This window comes from Homo sapiens, chromosome 10, assembly GCF_000001405.40.
Source record: "Homo sapiens chromosome 10, GRCh38.p14 Primary Assembly".
Lineage (NCBI taxonomy): Eukaryota > Metazoa > Chordata > Mammalia > Primates > Hominidae > Homo > Homo sapiens.
In genome coordinates, this window is record NC_000010.11 from 77,175,728 (window position 1) to 77,197,577 (window position 21,850).

The following is a 21,850-nucleotide window of genomic DNA, read 5'->3' on the forward strand; positions in this document are numbered from 1 at the left end:
GCAGAGTCAGGGCAGGAACTTACTCATGACCAGGCACAGGGCAGAGACAGCAAGAAGATGCAGCTAGCAGCCTAGTGGAGCTGGGGCAGGAAGTACAGGGAAAGGGGAGGCAGGAGGCAGGGCTGTGCATATGGGGATGCCAACCAGGGTCTGCCTCCACTCTCTGGCCAAACCATACTATTTGTGTTTGTTTAAATCCCAAACACTGAAAATTACTGATGTCAGGAAACTGAAACCAGGCCACAGCTTTCATTCTTGATTATTCTTACCAAATGCAGAGGCCAGTCAACAGAAGGTCCAGAGATTCACAGAATCATCCTGACCCTGCCTGAAGGTGGGGCGGGGCTCTTCAGCCAAGCAGGTGGCCTTGGGCCCAGATGCTCCATTGAAGCAGAGGAACAGAGAGATGCTTGAGACTTCAGCTGAGCCCTGGGTGGGGTAACCATTAAAAGGAAGAGTGGTGTGCTGACCCCATCCACCGCTTCCCTTAGGAAAATGGTGGCCTACCACCACAACTCTTTGGTCTCATTTGGGTTTCTCTGTAAACTCCAGAAAGCAATAAAGCATGATTCCTAAAAAAGAGGGCTACTAGGTGGAGGTTATGCAGACCTAATATGTTCCCCTCAGTCACTGCAGCTGCACAGGAAGGGGCACCCAAACCTCAGAGTAAGTTGCGTAAGAACAACAGACAACAGGCAAGTCTGTCTAGTAACTCACCTGTTCCCATGAAAAGAAAAAAAAATGTCACTCCATGCAAATGAGGGGTGTGGGAGGGTGTTGAGCTTCAATAAGGCTCTCCCCAACGGTCTCCTCCCTAACAGGCTGTAAAATAACATGAAGCATGGCCCCAAAGGGCCGTGAATGACCCCTGGAGCAAAGGACTCCAAAAGGCTCTGCAGAGCTTTTGGCACATCTGAACAGGGGCCCGGATCCCAGCGCACCCTCTTCTGGGCTCTGACTTTGGCAAGTTACTCAACCCCTCAGAGCCTCAGATTCCTCTTTGGAAATAATAATGGGAATAATAATATGCCCCTTTTGGTAGGCAGAACGATGACCCTCAAAGATGTCTGTGTTAATCTTGGGACCTGTGAATATGGTCATCTACATGCCAGAAGGAAATGAACGCAGCAGGCAAATTAAGGTTGCTGATAGGCTGACCTGGAGATGGGAAGAGTATCCTGGAGTATCCAGGTGGGCCCAATGTAATCACAAGAGTCCTTAAAAGTAGAAGAAGGAGGCAAAGAAGAGATGGCAGGAAGCAAGATCAGAGTGATGCAAGGTGGGGATGCACCCTTAGTTGCTGGCTGTGAAGGTGGAGAAAGGGGCCATGAGCCAAGGGGTGTAGGTGGCCTCTAGAAGCTGGAAAAGGCAAGGACATGGAATCTTCCCTAGAGCCTCTGGAGAGACCCATGTTGGACTTCTCACCCACAGAACTGCTTGGAAATAGAAAACTTCTACACCATTTTGCAAGGTTGTGAGGCTGATGCTTGGCACTCAGCAAGGCCTCTCTCTTTCTTCCTTCCTTCCTTTCTTCCTTCCTTCTTTCCTTTCTTCCTTCCTTCTTTCCTTCCTTCTTTCTTTTCTTTCCTTCCTTTTATTTTCCTTCCTTCCTTTCTTCCTTCCTTTCCTTCCTTGCTTCCTTTCTTCCTTCCTTCACTTTCTTCCTTCTTTCCTTCCTTCCTTCTTTCCTCTTTCCTTCCTTCCTTCTTTCCTTTTCTTTTCCTTCCTCTTTCTCTGTTTCTCTTTCTCTCTTTCTGACTTTCTTTCTTTTCTTTTCTTTTCTTTTTTCTTTTCTTTAGCAGGGTCTTACTATGTTGCCCAGGTTGGTCTCAAACACCTGAGCTCAGGGGTCCTCCTGCCTCATCCTCCCCAGTAGCAAGGCCACTTTCTTCTCTAGGCTGTTATTAGCTTCTGTGGGTACACACCATGCTCCACACATACTAGGCTTCATTCTCCCTGTCTTAGCCCATCATTGCAGCCTCCACTGAGCCCCAGCCTCTCACAGAAGCCTATCCTCATTCTCCCACCCACATGAGCTCTCACTCCTCTGAACTCCCATGGCCTTTACAGCCTGTACCTTGCAATTACGGGCTTAATTATATAGTGGGTAGTGTTACCTGCTGTCACTGCATGTGTGTTTATTTTGGTTCCAAAATGAGATTGAAACTTTAGTCTCAAACAGGAACAATGTTTTGTCCTTTTGTTGTTGTTGTTTTTAAGCACCTGTGCTTTTTTTATATAATCCTGTTTTTATTGCCTTCTGACACAAAAAAAGGACTATTTTGGGCATATATTTATAAGCAGATACCCTACATCATTGCAACTGCCCTGTGATTGGGCATTAACTCATTTTTCTATTTTCTAGCAGAGTTTACTGAAGGTTTTAAGGTTTAAGGTCTAAGGCCAGTTCTGATACAGACAATAGAATCAAGTTTATAGTTTTCCAATCATGGTTCCAATGACCATGGTCCCTTATCATATGCCGATTTCATCAGTCAAAGAACAGGGGATGGTGTTGGAAATCACAGTACCAGTAGGATACAGGGTGGCCCGGCATGTGTTCCTCTCATCCCAGTGCTGAGCACACAGTAGGTAATAAAAATGGGCTAGAAAACTGGCTGGTGAGTGCATCATTACTTTCCTCCTACTCCCTTCTTTAAATCCTACAAGATCACCCTCAACAAAAACATACACACAGGCAAGGTGCAGTGGCTCACACTTGTAATCCCAGCACTTTGGGAGGCTGAGGCGGGTAGATCACCTGAGGTCAGGAGTTTGAGACCAGCCTGGCCAACATGGCGATCCCGTCTCTACTAAAAATACAAACATTAGCTGGGTGTGGTGGCAAGTGCCTGTAATCTGAGCTATCGGGGAGGCTGAGGCAGGAGAATCGCTTGAACCCAGGAGGCAGAGGTTGCAGCGAGCCAATATCGCACCACTGCACTCCAGCCTGGGCAACAAGGGCGAAACTCCAAAACACAAAAACAAAAACAAAAAAACATACACACAAACAGAGGCAGCACAGCCCATTGACCTACCTTGGGGATACATTCCCAAAAGAGAATGAGACAGACGGACATATGAGTTCTCCTTGGAGCATGTTATTCAAATCTCAAAATAAGATAAAGCTCTCATTTCAAGGTGCATTTATTTTAGTGAGGTTTGGATTTGTAAGGGAAACAAAATGAATAAGTTGGTGGGTGGGGACAGGAATTAAAATAAGCAGCGTCTTGCTGCTTGCCGACATGACTGTCCTCACATCCGCTGCCTTATTTTTTATTCTGTTCTGGTTTGTTTTCTCCTGCGGTGCTTTAAAATATGATGGGTAGGTTAGAAAGAGAGACCGAGGTAATCCTGGCTTCTGTTCATTAAGCTCGTATGAAGTACGTGCTGTGCTACTCACATTACCTCGGTGAATCCCTATGAGGTGGGTGCTGTAATTAGCCCATTGTACAGGTGAGATAACTGAGCCTGAGGCAGATAAAATGCTCATGCTGAGCGACCCATCAGCAAACAGTTTAGCCAAGATGTGGACTGAGTTGGTGGAGCTCAGAGCTGAGCTTTAATCTACTCTGCGCCAATATCCGGGGTGTTCTTAAGCCCCAGTCTCTCTGTCCCAGATGGAGCAGGTCGGATCTCCAAGCTGCTGAGGGGCACTAGGACTCGGGAGACACCAGGCTAGCTCTGCATTCTTCTGGTCCTCCTGGCATTTCTAGAAACTGGAGGTGGGCAAGGAGGAGGGGGAAAGAGGAGCCAGGAGAACACGGAGTCTTAAATAAGATCTCTTCCCTCTCTTCCTGCCTGGAGTGAAGCCCTTTATGAGTAAGCACCGATGGAGGGATGCCAACACAACACAGCAAAACTAGCCCTGTCATTCCCAACCCAGGCCTCACAACTCCAAATCATTCAAGGGGTAAGGACACAGAAAGAAGAGCAGAGGAAGAGTGTGGACATAAAGTCAGACCACATACTGGGGAATGCACCCCTCCCACCACTCCCAGGAGATGTGACCTTGGACAAGATAATCTCTCTTAGCCTCAGTTTCTTCATCTGTAAATGGGGAAATGACAAGTCCTGCCTCATAGGTTTGCTCTGAGGATTAAGTGAGTCCGTGTCTGTGAGGGGCTTTCCAGAGTGCCCATCACACAGTAGGAGCTGACTACATAGTAGTGTCTCTATGAGTACACCGTTACATGCACTAGGATGATCTGCACAATGAATATATTCTGTACTATACAACACGCAATCATATGCCGACAATTGAAAACTAAACACGGTGTGGGGAGCGTTCTGGGACAGGTAAGGGCAGGGACCCTGCATTCACTCTGGTTTTTATCTCCCACAGAGCCAGCTACCGCACAGTCCTGTACCCTCAGCAGGGCCAGGAAAGTTTGTGCAGGAGAATGGGGATAGACTTCGGTTTCCTGCATCTTATCCCAAACCTCAGCCAGAAAAGGCAGCACCCTTCCACTTTCCAGGAGAAGGGCAGCCATGCCTGAAATGCCCCTATTTAATGGGATTATTTCTTCTCCTTTATAAGTCATATCTCATGGGAATGTTCATTTTCTCTCTGGAAGCTCATTGGTACAATGGTTGTTTCACAATGTAATAACCCATGTATTAAGTCAGATGAGAACCTCCTTGAAATATTATTGTACTGAATTCTCTTCCATAACAGGGAGATCAGTTTTAGATTTCACCCAAGGAGATTTCGCTACCAAAGAACCTAAAGCATTTCATTAAAGGTGCTTTCTCCTACAAGAGGAAAGAGGTTTTTTTATTTTTGTTATTATTATTTCATATCCCAAAAGGTTATTGTTCTATGTGTTCAATTTCAATAGTACTTATGCTTCCTAACCATACCGTATCATTTACTTCCTTATTAGGTTCAGTGTTTCCTGCTTTCCCAACACTGCAGTATAGGAGGGTAGGGGGATAGGACTCTATTTCTTCACTGTTGTTTCCCAATCATCTGGAATGGTACCTGACATATAGTAGATGCTCAATAAATATTAATATACAAATGGAAGCACATTTAGAGCACATTTCTTTTGGAAAGCGACCACAGTTGATACAAAGATGTATCTCATTAGAAATTCATTTCCACCTCTTTTATTTCCTATTCAATTTTTTTCACCCCCATTCTGTGTTTGTGCCAATAGATTTTTTATGAGATCACAACATATCTCCAAAAATCAGAATTAAATCATCCACAGGAAGGCTATGGATTTCAAAGCATACCAGAACTCCTGGCCCTAAAATGCTTCAGGGAACGTGTCACTCACCACAAGGAAGCTGGGCTCCACACTTTTACCGGGGGCATGTTCTGCTCACTGCAGAGGAGGATGTCTCCACCACAGTCACCAGGGAGCCCTTCCATCACCCAGGCCCACAGGGGACCAAGAGACAATGGACACTGGCAGAAAGTGCAGATTCATGAAGTGTGAGGACTAGAAGGTAATTTCATTTAAACCCCCATTCTTCAGATGAGAAAACTGAGGATCCAGAAAAGCAAAGTGGTTGTTCGAGTGCACAGGGTAATTAAGCACAGCTCAGTGAAGAAGGCAGATCCCACCTCTCCCCTTCCCCATCGATTTCCCTGTGTGTGCATGGGTATGTGTTTGAACTCTTAGCAACAAGATGTTTTAAAAGGAGTCCCTGTTAACAACTCATCCATAATTTTGACTCAGGGGTGCTGCTGATAGAATTCTACTAGCTTCCCTGTCCACCCCAATGACCTAGATCCCAAATTTCCCATTAATGACCCAAGAACCTTAAAGACTTTCTGAGCTAAAAGATTCTTCGAAGTCATCTAGCCAAATCTTTATCTTACAGATGAAAAACAACAGGCTAGGTAAAGAAAATTGAGCTCCCAGGTCACAAAGCCAGTTAGCAGTGAAGCTACAGCAGCTGGGACTGCTGGCACCCAGGGCCACGTAAGTTACACTGAGGACACTTCTCAGATTTGTGTGTGACTCTACTAGCCTCATCAGGATAAGGAGAAAATAAGGAGGAATCAGGATACGATACGGAGAAAATAAGGAGGAATCAGGATACGATAAGCAAAAAATCCAGTCTAACCAAGCATATCTCAGGTCCAAAACAAAAACTTTTCCTTAGAGCAAGAGAATATAATTCTAATGAGAAAACTGTAGCAAAAGAAATCTTTTTAGGATATGGACACATACATATATATATATATGCATGCACACGTGTATGTGCATATAATATAGAGATTACCACACATACTATATTAAGAAGATGCTTATTTTTTAAAAAAATACTTGACACTAGGTATATAATAAATTCCCAGTGCTAGCAATGGCATCAAAATGGATTGCTAGCGGAAGCCTATCTTGACACAACATTTTTTAAGTTATCCATCAATGTCTGCACAAAAGAAAATACACATATTCTTTGAACCAGCAGTTCCTCTTCCAGGAACCTGGAACTATTGATAGAATTAGAATTATACAAATATATGAATAACAGTGTTTATTAAACCATTGTTTCTAGCAGCAATAAAAGGAAAAGGAAAACATTCAGGTGGTCTATCATTAGGGTTATGGCTGAATATACTGCGATACAAACAAATTATGGAATTTTATGCAACTCTTACAAAATGAGTTATCACAGAGCTGACGGAATGTCCATCATGATTAGTTAGGAAGCCAAATTGTGGTGCAATGTAATTATTTGAAACAATTTCTTATACAAACACCACCATCTCTAAAACACTATCATGTGTGCACATGTGAAGGCCTGGGAACCGTGGGTGTCTAAAGGAGGAGGCAGTGATGGAGGCAAGGGGAAAAGATGATGAATGCTCTCTTCACACATCTTTGTTTTCATTGATTACAATGCATGCATATTACTTTTTAAATAATTAAGCCAAAAATCCTAAAAATAAGGACAGAAGGAACCCACAAATAGTCCTCCAGGTTCTGTTTCGGCCTGCCTTCTTCCCTAGTAGACCCCATGACAGCAGGAATACTCTGAATTCAGGGAAAAAATGAAATCAACGCAGCAATGAGAAACTTGAAGCTGTCTCTCTAAGCCCTGGGCTTCCATGACTATCCTCTGGTCAAGTTACTTTCTCCACTAAAGTGTTCTAGTCCTGGTCCAGGAGGTGCCCTGTACAGTACAGCCCAGCAGCACTCTCCCCTTAACACAGAAAGGGACCTCAGTCTCCTGTAAGGTGAGAGATGACTCAAGAAGCTTCATCTCTCCCTGCCCTACAAAGAACCTTGTACCTATAAATAGACCATGCAGAACCCACTTTTTGGAAGCAGACCAAAGCTAACTTTGGCAGGCAGGCCTCTGGGGTACCTGAGCCAGCCACTCGGAAAGTTGGCCTTACCCCCATGGGCTTCTTAATCCAGTCCTGACTCTAAGTTCCTGAATGAAAAGTGACAGAACCATGAACATAAAGGCCCTGGCTGTGACAGTGATGACCACTAGGCTTTGACAATGATAAAACTGCACTGCCTGAAGCGCAAACTGTGCAAACCCTTTGGGGCTAGTGCTCCAAAGAGAGCTGCCACCATCAACTTCTAAAACTCCAAGAGCCCGTTGTTCACATTAATACATACAACATTGTTTGTAGGGAGACAGCCCCCTCATCCACTGCAAATTCTGTCCTTCAGCCATGACTCAGGAACCAGGAAGGAGAAGGAAAGAGAGGCTGACTTACCAAGCCAACTTCTGTTTAAGTACACAGACACAAACACGGGGGGCACCGTGAAGAAATCCACTACAGAGTTCACTTCCAGCCAGAACCACAATTTATCGTTGGCTGCAATAAACTGGGGGAAAGAAGAAATAAGAAAGAGAAAAAACATGAGAAGCATGGTGCTGGCATCCAATGTACACTCTTTTGTCAAAGGGTAAGTTTTGAGTTTTCATAGGGCCACCACGCCCGGCTAATTTTTGTATTTTTAGTAAAGATGGGATTTCACCATGTTGGCCAGGCTGGTCTCGAGCTCCTGACATCAGGTGATCCACTCGCCTCAGCCTCCCAAAGTGCTGGGATTACAGGCATGAGTCACTGCACTCGGCCTATTTCTATTTAATTTTTAAGGTCTGGAGGGAGACATTATGTCCTTCTCATATCTACACAAAGCACATGCTTTTATGATTGGACACACACGTTTTCTAGTGCCCCATAGAGAGCCCTATATAGACTAACTATATGCTATGCTAGTCTTAAGAGAAAGATCAGGCAGTGTATTTTTCTGTGGTTCCCAACAGCTTCATAGGGAAGATTGGGTGATTTTACTTGTATTAGACTCATTCATGTAAATATAACTATAAATAAAGCACATATGTACGCATTCACACACACACACACACACACACACACAAAATTCCATCCATCTACTCTCCTCACCTTCCTTTCATTCATACTCACAACTGCTCTCTCAGGGCTCAGCTAAGTGAACACTGCTAAACGTAATTTTAAGAGCTGAAGAGGTTTATTTCTATTTACTTTTGTTTTGTTTTATTTTTTTGAGATGGAGTCTTACTCTGTTGCCCAGGCTGGAGTGCAGTGGCGTGATTTCAGCTCACTGCAACCTCTGCCTCCCAGGTTCAAGCAATTCTCCTGTCTCAGCCTCCTGAGTAGCTGGGATTACAGATGCCCGCCGCCACGCCTGGCTAACTTTTGTATTTTTAGTAGAGATGGGATTTCACCAGGTTGGTCAGGCTGGTCTCGAACTCCTGACCTCAGGTGATTCACCCGCCTCAGCCTCCCAAAGCTGGGATTACAGGCGTGAGCCACCACACTCAGCCTATTTCTATTTAATTTTTAAGGGAACAGGGCATTATGTGAATAGAGAGATGAGAAACAATCCACCGGTGGATACATCATCATTTTTCTTCAATCCCTATTTCTCCCCCTTGAAACAAAACTGATGTGAATTCCAGAAAATGCTTAGCTAAGGAGAGGGCTCTCTCTCAGACTGAAAATCAGAATGCGGGTGCGCTGTTTCTCCTGGAAATATCTTGACTGCGAGAGCAGAGGCTGAGGGGGATGATCCCTGGGTCCCAGACTGAAACACCCCATTGTGATACTGAACAATGTTGCACAAACTTACCCGCAAGCCGAAGTAGAGAAGGAAGAACACGTTGAAAGCCATGTCGATCTGTAATGTGAAATCTTTGTAGAAATTCTGGCAGGATTCTATTGGGCTATTAGACAGGAAGAAGAAAAAGCAAGAGGTAAATGACAGGTAGTATCATCCTGTCTCCCACGATGCTGAGAAGTGGTAGTGCTTAGGGTAGACGATGAAATGAATATTCATAAAAGAAAACATTTGGTCTTTCTGCCTCCTGGGATCATCAAGCAAGCATTGCCAAGGGGTCTTTCCATTCAACCATTCAGGAACTACTGTTCTTTTATTTATTGTTTTCGAAATTATTATATACTATCATTTTTTATCATCATTCAGCAGTTGAACTAAGAATCTAAAGAGGATCATGCAGATACCCTGGAGGAAGGACAAGCAGGAGAGGCCTCCAAATTCCTTAATTTCATATTAACCCTTAAAGAACTTCTTTCTTTCTTTGAGAGGACACATACTAAAGCTAAAACACAGTTCCTCATGCCCTCCAACGCATTGGCAGTGGGGCCTGTTTTCAATTAAACACAGTGGTTGTGTTTTGGACCTTTTAAAAACCATTAGTTGATTAATAAATTCAGGACCCAGGAGCATCTCAAGAAAGCTAGAGAGGAGAGGATCCTGGGTGAGGTTCTGGCTAGATTAAGCACAGACTTTCTGTGCAGGACTCGGATCTGGGGAAAGAAGCATTGTCCGACCAGTCAAATTCAGACCATTAAACCAAAAGGTTGAAGCAGTACTCTAAGGGTTAATTTTTTTTTTTTTTGGCATGCATGCTAATTGACTTGGTGTGTGTGTCGAGCAGCCAATGCAAACCCCTAGCACACTCTACTTCAAGAGTCGCCAGTTCAAAAGGGTACTACTATACAAACTGGTACAAGACTTCTGTGTGCTTTCCTGTGTCAAACTGATCAGAGGATCAGTGTGTGGAAAGTCCCAAGGTTTGGGCTGGGTGGGAAGTAGGAAAGCCTCATAAACACTCAAAGCTGTGAATGGAAATTCACATAGTATTCTGTGATCAGTAGGTAAATAGTAACACCCAGGCCAGGAACGTGAAGGTGAAGTGAGGTGAGGGAAAGGAGACAGAATACCAAGAGAAGCAAAACACTTTAGCTAAAGGGAAGCGACAGACCTCCTCCCTCCAGGAGAGGGCCAGCTTGAGAAATGGAAGATGAAGGATTTCCTAGTAGTGCCACTTTGGAAATCACTGTGTGCAATACCAGTTAGTATAGTTGCACTTCTGTAAGGACAACGCTTGGCTGTTCAACAGGCAGGAATCTGTGCAGTAGAGGAACTCGGGGCCCACTTAGAGGCAGGGTAAGTTAGTCTGTGGGAATCTCCGATCATGTTCCATGCACTGGATTTATCCATTCTTCATCTCTGCTACAAGTCAAACATGCCCTATATCATCTCCCAAATCACGTGGAAAAATCTCCAGACAAGCATTAAGAGTAACCTTTATTTGCATTCACAAACTAGGTGGACTGAACAAAAAACAACACTGAAAAACAGTTCAAAAAAAAACAAAAAACAAAAAAAAACGACAATTGCCAGGTTTTCACTAAGGTAGGGAATTGGGTAGAAAGACAGCATGGAATTTGGTTAGTCCAATGCTGAAAGGAGACACAAGCAAGGAAGCCAAATATCACAGCCTGCCATGGCTCTAGGCCTGCTCTCCTACACAGGTACTAATTTCGATGAAAAAAGGAAAATCCAGGCTACAGTGAATCGGTGATACTTCTGCAATTCTCAGGCCATGGGGGTGCTTGTTTTTGTTTCAAAAACAAGACCCAAAGGTCCATGGGTGTCAGAGTTCCCAGCCACTCTAGTTGCAGTGAAAAATGTACAGGAACTAGGTTGACCAGAAATCCTATAGACTCCAGGGTTGAAGAGACAATGCATCTCTGCAGGATACGTTACTAAAGAGTAAATGTGTGTGTGTGTGTGTGTGTGTGTGTGTGTGTGTGTGTGTCAGAGAATAAGCAAGCAAGGATGGGGAGATCTGTAGGTAACTACTGTACTCAGGTGCTCACTTGTGCCAGCGGGGACTCACATAGCTGTGCATTATAAACTCACAGTCATCAAGATTGATGTATACGCAGTCAAGGGGAGAGAAAAAAAGGGCTTGGTTTCCAAGACTATCATGGAAAACTGACTATTGTTTCACCAAGGCCAAAACCTTACAGTTGCCCTCACAGTCGTTATTGGTGGAGTTACTGGTGGCATATTTGGGGCCATCATGAGTTCCCTAGCTCCTATTAATCCCGTGGCCTCTGTGGTTAATTTGGTGGTAACCTAGAAATACAGCTAATTGGAAAAGTATTTGCTAGGCTGTGGTAGAAAATGGAATAGTTGGGGGAGAGATGTGAGCTGAATGCCACAGAGGATACTTGGATTCAACATAAATGGAAACAGGTATTGAGAAGAGCATAAGGAATTGGCTGCAGTGACTTCTCCACTGTTTCTTACCTTCCTGGTCCTTTCTGTCATCCCTCCTCATAATGCTTATGTTCAATGGCCACAGTGAGAGGGCTTGAAGCTAGAGGACATGGGTGTTGAAAAACGCACCTTAACAACACCCCTGGTTTACAGGAAACCATGTTGAAGCCATACAAGACCTTTTCCTTTTCTCTAATCCTTTCAAAAAATTTAGAACCGATTTCATCATGTTTCATTATCATTCCTTGCGTACTAGACTTGGAGCTGAAATACTAAAGGAAGTAAATGATGCCGCTGGCGCGGGTGGCTTTTCCTCTGGCTGGAGCTGGCAGGTAATATGAGCATACCTCAATAATATGAGGGGGCAGGGGGCAGGCAGAGAAGCAGGAAACTCTGGGACAAAAGACCCATATAGGATGAGTGATCGGGCAATGTACTTTCTATCCCTTTTAGCTATTTCCTGCTTGCCACTACAGCCCCAGGAGAAATGTCCTGCCTGATTTTTTTCAAGTGGCAACAGAACTGTTTATCAGATCCCCTCTGAGATAAGTCCTCTGAGTGCCTGTAGTTTACGGACTCGCACAATCAGAGACCACAGAGTGGAGCTTCCAAATCCCCATTATTTCATTCCCCAAATGGAAACAACCCATGGAGAAGTTCAATGATCCTTTAAAAAAAGAATACATATTTCAACAACAAAAGAGTTGGCCATATCAACCAGGATTTATTTTCCTCCCAAAGAGACTTCATCTTAATGATTAATGCACATTATAGGATGGAGAATGAAATACAAACACCTCTCCCTTCTTGTGTAAAGTAGGAGGAGTTTCCTTGTCTAGATACACAGAAACTTCAAAAGCTAGCAAAGAAATTGTGCTTTAAAGAAAAAAAAACTACAAAGGAAAGTGACTCTGGATCACACACAGACTTAGATTTCCAGTCTGATGAGGCATATCCACCTCAGAAGGATTTACATGGGCATATGTTGCCAACAGGAAAAAAAAAAAAGTGGAGTTTTATGAACTGAAATAACACTAGTTCTGCCTCTGGTAGTAGAAAACTGACTTACCCTAAATTGCTACGGGTTAACTAACTTAACTTATATCCTCTTAATAATTAGAGAATATAAGATACTTGGTAAGTGGCAGACTATTCATTTCTAGGCTCCCATAATCCATGAAACAAGTGTGATACTAAAACCACAGGCAAATTTAGCATGTTGACCAGGACTCCATGACTGAGCACCTTCAAAAGAGCCTCAGTAAAGAGTTGATTCTTATGGAGTAAATGTTCAGTTGTAGGGTAGAGGTTGAAATACAAACTCCTATTTCCTCTTGGCCATCAAGTAAGTACATCCTCAGCATTTAGATGCCTCTACAGAGGAAAATGAGACTCACCCAAAGTGGGAAATGTTTCTCTTTCCTCATCTACTTAGTCATAGAATTTTCAAAAAGACTCTTGAGCAGGATGATCCAACAGACCTTCCCAAAGACTGACTTAAGAACTTATCTTTTCAGAGCACAAGGCAAGTGAGGGCTACCCAGGTTTTTTTTCAGAGGGCAGGAGCTCTCAGCACAAAATCTCACTGCTAGCAGTTGTTCCTCTGGGCATCTTCCTCATCTCCAAGAGGGAAGGATCACCCGCTCCTCACAGCCTCTAAACTTCCCTGGGTTTCCTGCAGTCTGTTTTCCCACCTCCCTGAGTCTGGCTGCCGAACCCTGTGAAGCTACTTCTCCAGGGTAGTGGTTCTCAAACTTTGGCATGCAGTTGGAGGGCTTGTTAAAATCTTGCTGGGCTCCATCCCCAGTTTCTGATTTAGTAGGTTTGGGGTGGGGGCCCTAGATTTTGCATTTCTTACAGTTTCCCAGATAATGGGGATGCTGCTTATCTGGGAACACCGCTTTGAGACCTGCCACTCCCAAAAAACCTTTCTTGCAACTACACACTAATTATAGGTGTTGCTGCTCGAGAAGCTTCCCATTCAGACCTGAACAGAGATGATTCAGTGTTTGAGCCAGCCCCCAGATAACCAGCTGCCTACCACTTAGCTAATTGCTGGGATCAAGGGGTTGAACAGACATTTTCTGTTTCAGATGCGAACAAGGGGGTGAAAAAATTAAAAAGATACAGGGAAGCAATTGCAATGCCACTGTGCAAGCTTCACCAGTGGACGTTCCAATTAACAATCAGAGAGTACCTGCTGAGCACATTTTAGATTAAGATTAAAAGGAAAAATGATGAAGTACAGATGGGGAGGGGTTACGGAGACCATCATTTACAAGGGATAAAGAAATGGTAAGTAGCTTAAGAATGACAACAACAATAACACACACCCAAGATGATTTACTAGGGACGGGACTGGCTGAGGAACAAGATATCATTTTGTGAAATAATTTCCAACGTTCAAATTCTCCTCACTCTTGTGGCTAGTCCCTTTCTAAATTGAATGGGGCCCTCTCAATTCCCACCAGGATTATGGACAGGCAGAGTTCAGGCCCACAGCACCACAGACATGAGTCAATGCAATAAGCCTAATGATTCTAGACTCTTTTCCTAGTCTCACCTCTGCAATGTTGCCAAATTAATTTAATTAAAAATGTCATTCATCCACCATCACGGTCCCTGCCTGTTTCATATAGTAACTCTAAGCCTGGCTAGGAAGAATTTCTAAAACCTAAACTCATTCTACATCTCTTACTTTATTTTCTACTATGTTTCAGTCCAAACCCTTGCCTTCATTATTTCATGAATGTGACCCATGTATTCCCTAATTTTAAATCTATGCCTTCTCTGTGGCCTCTTCAACTGCTGATTACTCTTTGTGTTCAAACCTTGGGCAGTCTTCGAGGCCAACCTCCAGGCTTGATTCAGCAAACTACTTGTGCCCTCATTGACCTCTCCCATCTCTGAATTCCCATGCTACTGGGAGGAAAAAAATTCTAAACTGCCTCATTATGTTCATATTCAATTATTCTTCAATTCAATGTAATAATACCTGACAATTGTATAAAATTTACATATGCTATTGCATTTGGTCCTCACAAAATGGCAGAATAAAGTAGATATTGTACTATAATCCCCATTTTACAGACAGAGAAGCAGAGGCTCAGATATCCAATCAAGACCCTGCAGCTATGTGGTAGAGTTAGGATAGAGACCCACTAGCCTTGTGCCATACCACTTCCTCTCCAGATGGAGTGCAGCCTTCTTGGAGAGGAAGAGGAAGCATAAGACATAGTGTCTGCTATCTACAGAGCCTCGCCTGGGGCTCATGCAAAAATGATGGGGGTTGACTGATTCATAAATCCTTCATAGAGGAGGACAAACTGCCCTAGAAAATAACTGATGTGTCTGTTGGGTGGTCTAGGAAAATGCAGAGGAAGCAGATGTATTCAACCTGTACCTAACCCTAACCCTGCTCTGTAGAGACTGTCATGTGGGACACTAATAATCCCCAGAAGTCCTCTCTGGGACCCCGTGTGGGGTGGTGGTATCAGGAAGACTGATCCCATCGGCTGAGGGGAAGTTCTTCTGCTTATAGAGGGATAACTCCTAGTTATCCAACTGATTAAAGATGAATGACCCTTCAAGTGGCCCAATTTTCCCTCACCCTCTCCTATTCTAGGAGAACAAGGATGAAGATAATGAAAGCTGATAATACTTAGACACTCTGAAGACTCTTAATTATGAACTAGATGATTAATAAGCTTTGCATCCCATTTGATCCAATCAAAATAAATAAAAAAGATGATATCATATGGATATGGATTTTTATGGAATCTATCTATAACCAAGAGAGTAGGTCTAAGTGATTTGAAGCTTTCCTGGCTACCTCTGGATATCCTGGATAAACTGCCTACACTGGAATAAAAGCATCTAGCCAGCCAGAATATTATGAGACAGACTAATTTTAAAAGGAGGCAAGTCTTTGCAATGTACTTCAAATTAGAAACTGATATTATTATTCATAAAATTTAAGATCACAGAAAAATATTTTGTGAGCTAATAACAATAATGGATTTAGTGTGAATGACATGATATGAATTCATCATTGAGAAAGCAATAATATTTATATAGAACATTTTCTCCTGAACTTGGGACAACACCCCAAGACTGCCCTGAACCTGACGGGATCCAAGCTGAAAGCTTTGTATTCTTTTGGTTTTCTTCATGCTGCCATTTTACTTATCTTATCAGAGCTGTGTACCTAAGAGTTTATCTTTCTAATATCGATTCTTCTCATGTTTACACTGGACGGGGCATGTGTGTTCAATAAGTTGTGTAGTTTTTAGTTTTACCAAACAGAATAAAGCCTCTTCACTTTATCCCAGACATCATGGAATAGTTATCTTCTAAGATGTGGTCACCTTTGATGGGTCAGTTTGTGGTCAATCATCCATCAATAGTAATGATGATAACATCAAAATGGGCCCCCCTTTTTTAATCTTAAAACATTTTTCTTAGACCTTGAAATGACTCTAATGTAAATAGAAAACAGTTTTTGTTACTCTGCAGTACTGATCGATTATGATCCCATGCCAGCTGGTTGTTTAACTGGCTTTACTGGGAAGTCATCAGTTATGGGTTTGTATCAACAGGACTATTAATCCTTTTGATGGCAGCAGGCTTCTAATTATAGCTCTGCTCAGTTGAAGAGATGTGATCCAATAGCCACAAATATATGTATTCCATGTTGAAATGAATTGGAGCATACCGGAAAGTAGTATAAAAACCCTAACAACTCTTTAGCATCCATATACACTCTGTATTCTTGAGCTTTGAGTAATATGGAGACTCCTGAAACAATGATAGCAGTTGACTTCAGAGCAGTTGTAAGGCTCAGGATGTCTACCTGAATAATTATTCCTAAGAGTAAAACATTCTTCTAGGAGACAAAGAAAATGACATAGATTGCTAACAGAGAGAATGGAATATGTCAATTCTTTATAAATTTCTCAATAAAACACACACAGATCATTTGCTTTCAAGAAACTCAGGTGGCGAGAACCCTTTTGTTTGTTATGAAGTTCTTTTAAATTTTATCTAACAAGACTTCAATATTATATCTGAACTAAGAGTCTCCTTTCCCATCTTCATTCCATATTTCTTATCCACGATAGACCTAGATAGGTATAGCAAAAGCAAAATACGGGCATTACAAGTTGACCTCAAAAGTGGTTGGCAGCTAGGTAGTTTTAGAATTCAATGGAAGAGCTAAAGTTCCAGCCCTATCACCTCCTAGCTATAGGATCTTAAGCAAATAATTTGACCTCTTCAAGTCTTTGTTTTCTCTTCTGTAAACTGGGGATAAGGTTACGAATTCCCAACGTTGTTCTAAGACTGAATCAGATGACTCAGCACTCAAAAGTGATAGTAATTTCCAAAACTAAGGTAATAATAATAGTGATAATAGTAACTGTTTGTAGAAAATGCCCCCAAAAGGCAATCATTCAACTGAACAAAAACTGATAGGATCAATTGTTTCTATTTTTTTCATTTGTATCTGCTTTACTGCCTCTTTATCTGGTGTTGCACTGTAATCCAAATGCCCAACAGGCTGTGCATTGGGCTACTGTAAGATTTCACAAATGCCTAGTATAATTCTATAGAGTATTAAAGAAGAAAAAGTGAAAATTATATTTCCATGAAGGCAGCCACACAGTCTCATAAATGCTAAATAATTAGCCAAGATTTCTTGACAGAGAAAGCCATAAGTCACTTTAATGAGTGGCCACAGGAGTTTGTTATTCTCCTTTTTTCCTAGTTTTTTTTTTTAGAGATGAGAGCTTTCCTTGCCTGGTTGGCTTAGCACGGATCTACATAAGAGGCAGAGATCTGAACCAGTCATATGTCTTGTAAATATCTCTTGTAAGTTTTCTTCTCTAAGAGCACGTACTTTTTCACTGTTACACTTTTGGAATGATGTCCAAGACAACCTACCCACTAATGCTTGTTTTCTCCAGCTTATCTGCAGACTACAATTATTTCAATCACAGTTGTTACCAGAGTAGAATTAGTGTTCATATTTGCCAGCAACTTCTATGTAATAAATCAGAGCTAAGCTACTACATAAAACAGAGTCTTTCCAAACAAGTATTGCTTGATTTTAGTTTTCACTAAACTGTCTTAGGAATCATGACTGACCAATTCTACTCACTCGTTCCACTCCCTCCACTGATTCTAGCCATCCCTTTTTTTTAGGGAACCCTTATTTATCTAGAAAAGGAATGGGATGGAGTAGGTGATTCAAATAGCACTAAATGCATATGCACTTATGCACATATACCAGAAGACAGAGTGAAAGTTCTTCGAGGGCAGGGTCAATGAGCCATGTATAGGTATGGAGTGGTTCATGTGGGTGGGCACCCACACAACGTGTACACACAAACATCCCCAGCCTCCCAGCACAAATATATGCTCTCCATCCAACCCCAACCCCACTCTGGGACCACTCACAAAACAGGACAGCCTAGATGAGGTGATTAGAAATGGGGGAAAGGAAAGAGAAGAGAAGTCCCAGGTCTGAATGGAGAGCTGAGAATCTAGACACAAATGCTGGCATGGGGAATGGAACCTCTGACCCCTGGATCCATACTCCTCTCACATCTACAGGAATTTAGTCCTAGGGAAACAAGAATAGACTATTCATGTAACCACTACATTCTGCTTCCTATGCCTTTTTTTTCTGGATATTAAAATTGCCACCTATGTGCTAGGAGGCTGATAAACAATAATCTATAACCAGGGATAGCCAACAACCCCTAGCCATTGGGGAGCAACAGCCTGGAGCTCACATTTCTGAAAGAGAGGGCATCCTAGAGAAAGTAGCTCAGGGTACAGTTTCAAGGCACTTCATATCAAGGCTTCCCAAATAAGAAGCCCTCATATTCATACAGGGGATGGCAGAGGCTCCTAAGAGAAAAGAAGAGCTCTCTATTTGCCAAAGGCTGGCCAATCAGGGCACGGTTGGGCAGGTAGGCTGGTACTCCCATAGCATAACAGACTGTCAAATCACTGTGGGACTTCTTTGGGCTGTTACTAGATGCAGACTTCAAAATTCTGTCTGAGCCTTCTCCAGATGTTTGCCTTGGACTCTTTGGGCCTCCCCTGGTCATCTCACCAGTCCCCTATTTAACTTATGCCTTATACTCCCTTTTCTTGCCCTCCTACCTGGCTTTGACATAGTCCTGTCATACCTGGATGGCATGACCCTGGCAATGGCACCTTGCTATGGGTCTACCTGTAAGGATTTGGAGTACAGAAGCTAAAACTATTGAATCGACAGCTAGAACCAGCCTGTTCTGAGTTCCGGACTGACAGTTGCGGATAATGAGATGCCTGAGACGTATCTCTTTCTTATTCTGAACCTTAGTATTTCAGCCAGTAGCCTAAGAGGTCTATTACAGTTCCAACTCTTGTACCTCTTGGCACATCTGCACTCAAGCAGAATGGCACACAAGCCCCTCAGCAGGGCACTCAAGGTCTACACTAACAAAGAGTACCAATGCTGAAGACTTGCTGATCCTGAATGTAGGAAGCCTGAGAACATCTGGAAAAAAAAATAATTATGTTTAAAAAACAGTTGTTCCATTTATCTGCTGCTTCACTTTGACGAACAGAAAACAATGTCACATAACATAGATAGTCACCACAAGGACACCAGCTTGTTTAAAGTTACACATGAATTTATATGTGATGCTGAAGGATAATTATAATGGCTTATATCTATTTCTAACATCTTGAAGTTTTGTTGTTGTTGTTGTTGTTATTGTTGTTGTTGTTGTTGAGGATTTTTTTTAAGAACACACAGAGAAAGACCTGGTAGAAGTCTTTCTGACATCTGGCATAGAAGACAATTATACCTTTATTGCACAAGGAAATAAAATAGCTGTGTCTTAGCTCCGTCTTTGGCTGACAGCTAAGGCCTGGAAGTTTTGTAAGTTTTCCTATTTAGGAGTTTTGTTGAGAGCCTAGCAGCCTCACAGCCAAAACGGAGTGTCTGAGATGCTGCTGATTAGAAGTCATGGGTCTGCTGAGTACAAGGCTAGAGTCACTCCTTAGGAATGTCATAAAGGACCTGGGCAGTAGAAACCAACACCACCATGGAAAATCAGACAGGATGAGTTACCTTTAAAACAAACTGTCATCATTAATAGGGAAAATGGCAATGACTTATTAACCCCTATGATTATACAATCATATCTTCAAGTATGCACACTTTTCATTTCCTTCTTGACAACTTCATGAAAGTAATGTCTCATCTCCTGGAACATTTCTTTTCCTTTTTTTTTCTTTCCTTCTTGCTTCTAATTAACATTGAAAATCATTTATTTATCAAAATTAGGTTTCCCCTGCCCATGTTTCAGAAATAATAAATAGCTGGCTGAGTATGGTGGCTCAAGCCTGTAATCCCAGCACTTTGGGAGGCCGAGGCAGGTGGATCACTTAAAGTCAGGAGTTCGAGACCAGCCTGGCCAACATGGTGAAACCCCACCTCCACTGAAAATACAAAAATTAGCTGGGAGTGGTGGTGAACACCTGTAGTCCCAGCTACTCGGGAGGCTGAGGCAGGAGAATGGTTTGAACTCGGGTGGTAGAGGTTGCAGTGAGCCAAGATCATACCACTGCACTCCAGCCTGGGCAACGGAGTGAGACTGTCTCAAAAAAAGAAAAATAATAATAAATAGCTATTTCCACCATATCAATGACATCCACTAGATTTTTGGGTATAAATTTGGAAAGAAATATGATGAATTACCTGCTCAGTGGGGTGAAGTGTCTTTCTCCTTGCTTCCTCCTGCAGGCCCTTCTTTTAATTTTATTGTCCTATCTTTGAACTTCTCTAGAGATGTTATTCCTATCATTATAAAAACATCTCTGTGAGAGGCCTAGGATGGCCCCAGGAAGCCGATTTCTTAGGATTTTCTCTTCTGTCTCTGTGAATGGATCTCTGTATCCCCACTTTCTGTTGGGCTTCAGAAATCCTTTCATTTTATGAGGAATCACTGTGTTTTTCTGGGAAAGAGGAATGGGTCTCTGTACTGAAGAATCTCACAAAAGAGAATCAGATGTTTCCTTCGCCAAGCCCCCAGATGAAAACGTTCATAAAGTGAGAATATGCCAACGTGCTGGGCAGGATCGCCTGCCTGCACAGGTCTGTACTGTAATTACATTTAAGCTCCTTTCAAAAAGCGAAATGCTCCCATTCAAAGGATCTTTTTACTGGTTACCAAAAGAACATGTTATGAAATTCTAAGCAAAGTCCATTTCAATATAATACATGGGATATGGTTAATAGAATAGGAGGAAAAAGGACTGTGGGAAGAGCTTCAATCTACTAAGCCCCCAGATTGTAGAAGATCAGATTTCATGAAGAAAACCTAAAAATAAGATAAGAAGCATTCGGCTTTGTTTCATTCTGACTGCTTAGTGCCTACTCTTGGGCTAAGGGATGCTGACAAGCTAGTATCATCAAGAATTGTCTAGGAACTGTTATTCCTACCCTAGGATTATCACAGCTTGGAATGCCTCGCCTTTCATTTTTCTCAGCTTACAACCAAGGCATGTCTAAAATGCAAAGTATCTATTTGAAATGACAAAAAAAGAAATGCAGTGAGAAAACAGATCCTGACAGTTGTGTTTTATAAAAGTCCATTCTGAGAATACAAGAAAGAAGTATACAAGTTTAAAAAAAATAAGGAAAAGAAAGCAGTTTTAAAGTAAGTCATTAGACAGCCCTAAGGCAAAAAAAAAATATTTCAAGGAGAGAAAATGATCACAATTTACTAATCAATGATGTTGAATGCAGTGCCAACATGCTTTAACAAATGCGATATTTCTTCCTAGTAGTACCATTTCATTTCTTTTAAAGTTGAATTAATAGTTTTACTAAACACTATGAAAACGATCAATAATTGCATTTCCTGAGGCATTTAGCCCAAGAAGTGCTTTTAAAAGGTATATCTTTTTATTTAGATATTTGTTAGATCTAAGCAAAATCAAATCAGGTAACATTATTCAGAAAGACATGAAAGGGTATCATCATCCTGGTCACTTGGTGCACACCCAGGTGGAGTCAGGAACATGTAGGACTGATGATCAGGTAGGTTGTTACTTGGAAAACTGGTCCTAGCTTCTAATTATTTGTCATTAGTCTTTGCTCAGCATAAACCTAAAAACGGGAGATTTATCTCTCTCTTTTCCAATGTCCTAGTCTTGAATTTTCAAGGGACATGGTGGCCTTTGTGATATCACAGCAAACTGAGGGCCCACAGGGATGATCCAGGAGAAGC

At 42.3% G+C, this 21,850-nt stretch overlaps 1 protein-coding gene across 56 annotated transcripts in view; it reads right to left on the reverse strand.

The window, feature by feature from the left end:
• The window catches only part of KCNMA1 (potassium calcium-activated channel subfamily M alpha 1), a 768,207-nt gene that overhangs the window by 306,126 nt on the left and 440,231 nt on the right, over window positions 1-21,850 (reverse strand). For all 56 annotated transcript variants that reach the window (NM_001271518.2, XM_017016222.3, XM_024447990.2 and 53 more), the window contains 2 exons: window positions 9,096-9,189; window positions 7,694-7,805 (listed from right to left, as the gene is read on the reverse strand). In NM_001271518.2, the coding sequence (NP_001258447.1) occupies window positions 7,694-7,805; window positions 9,096-9,189 (206 nt within the window). The remainder of the gene's footprint in view (window positions 1-7,693; window positions 7,806-9,095; window positions 9,190-21,850) is intronic.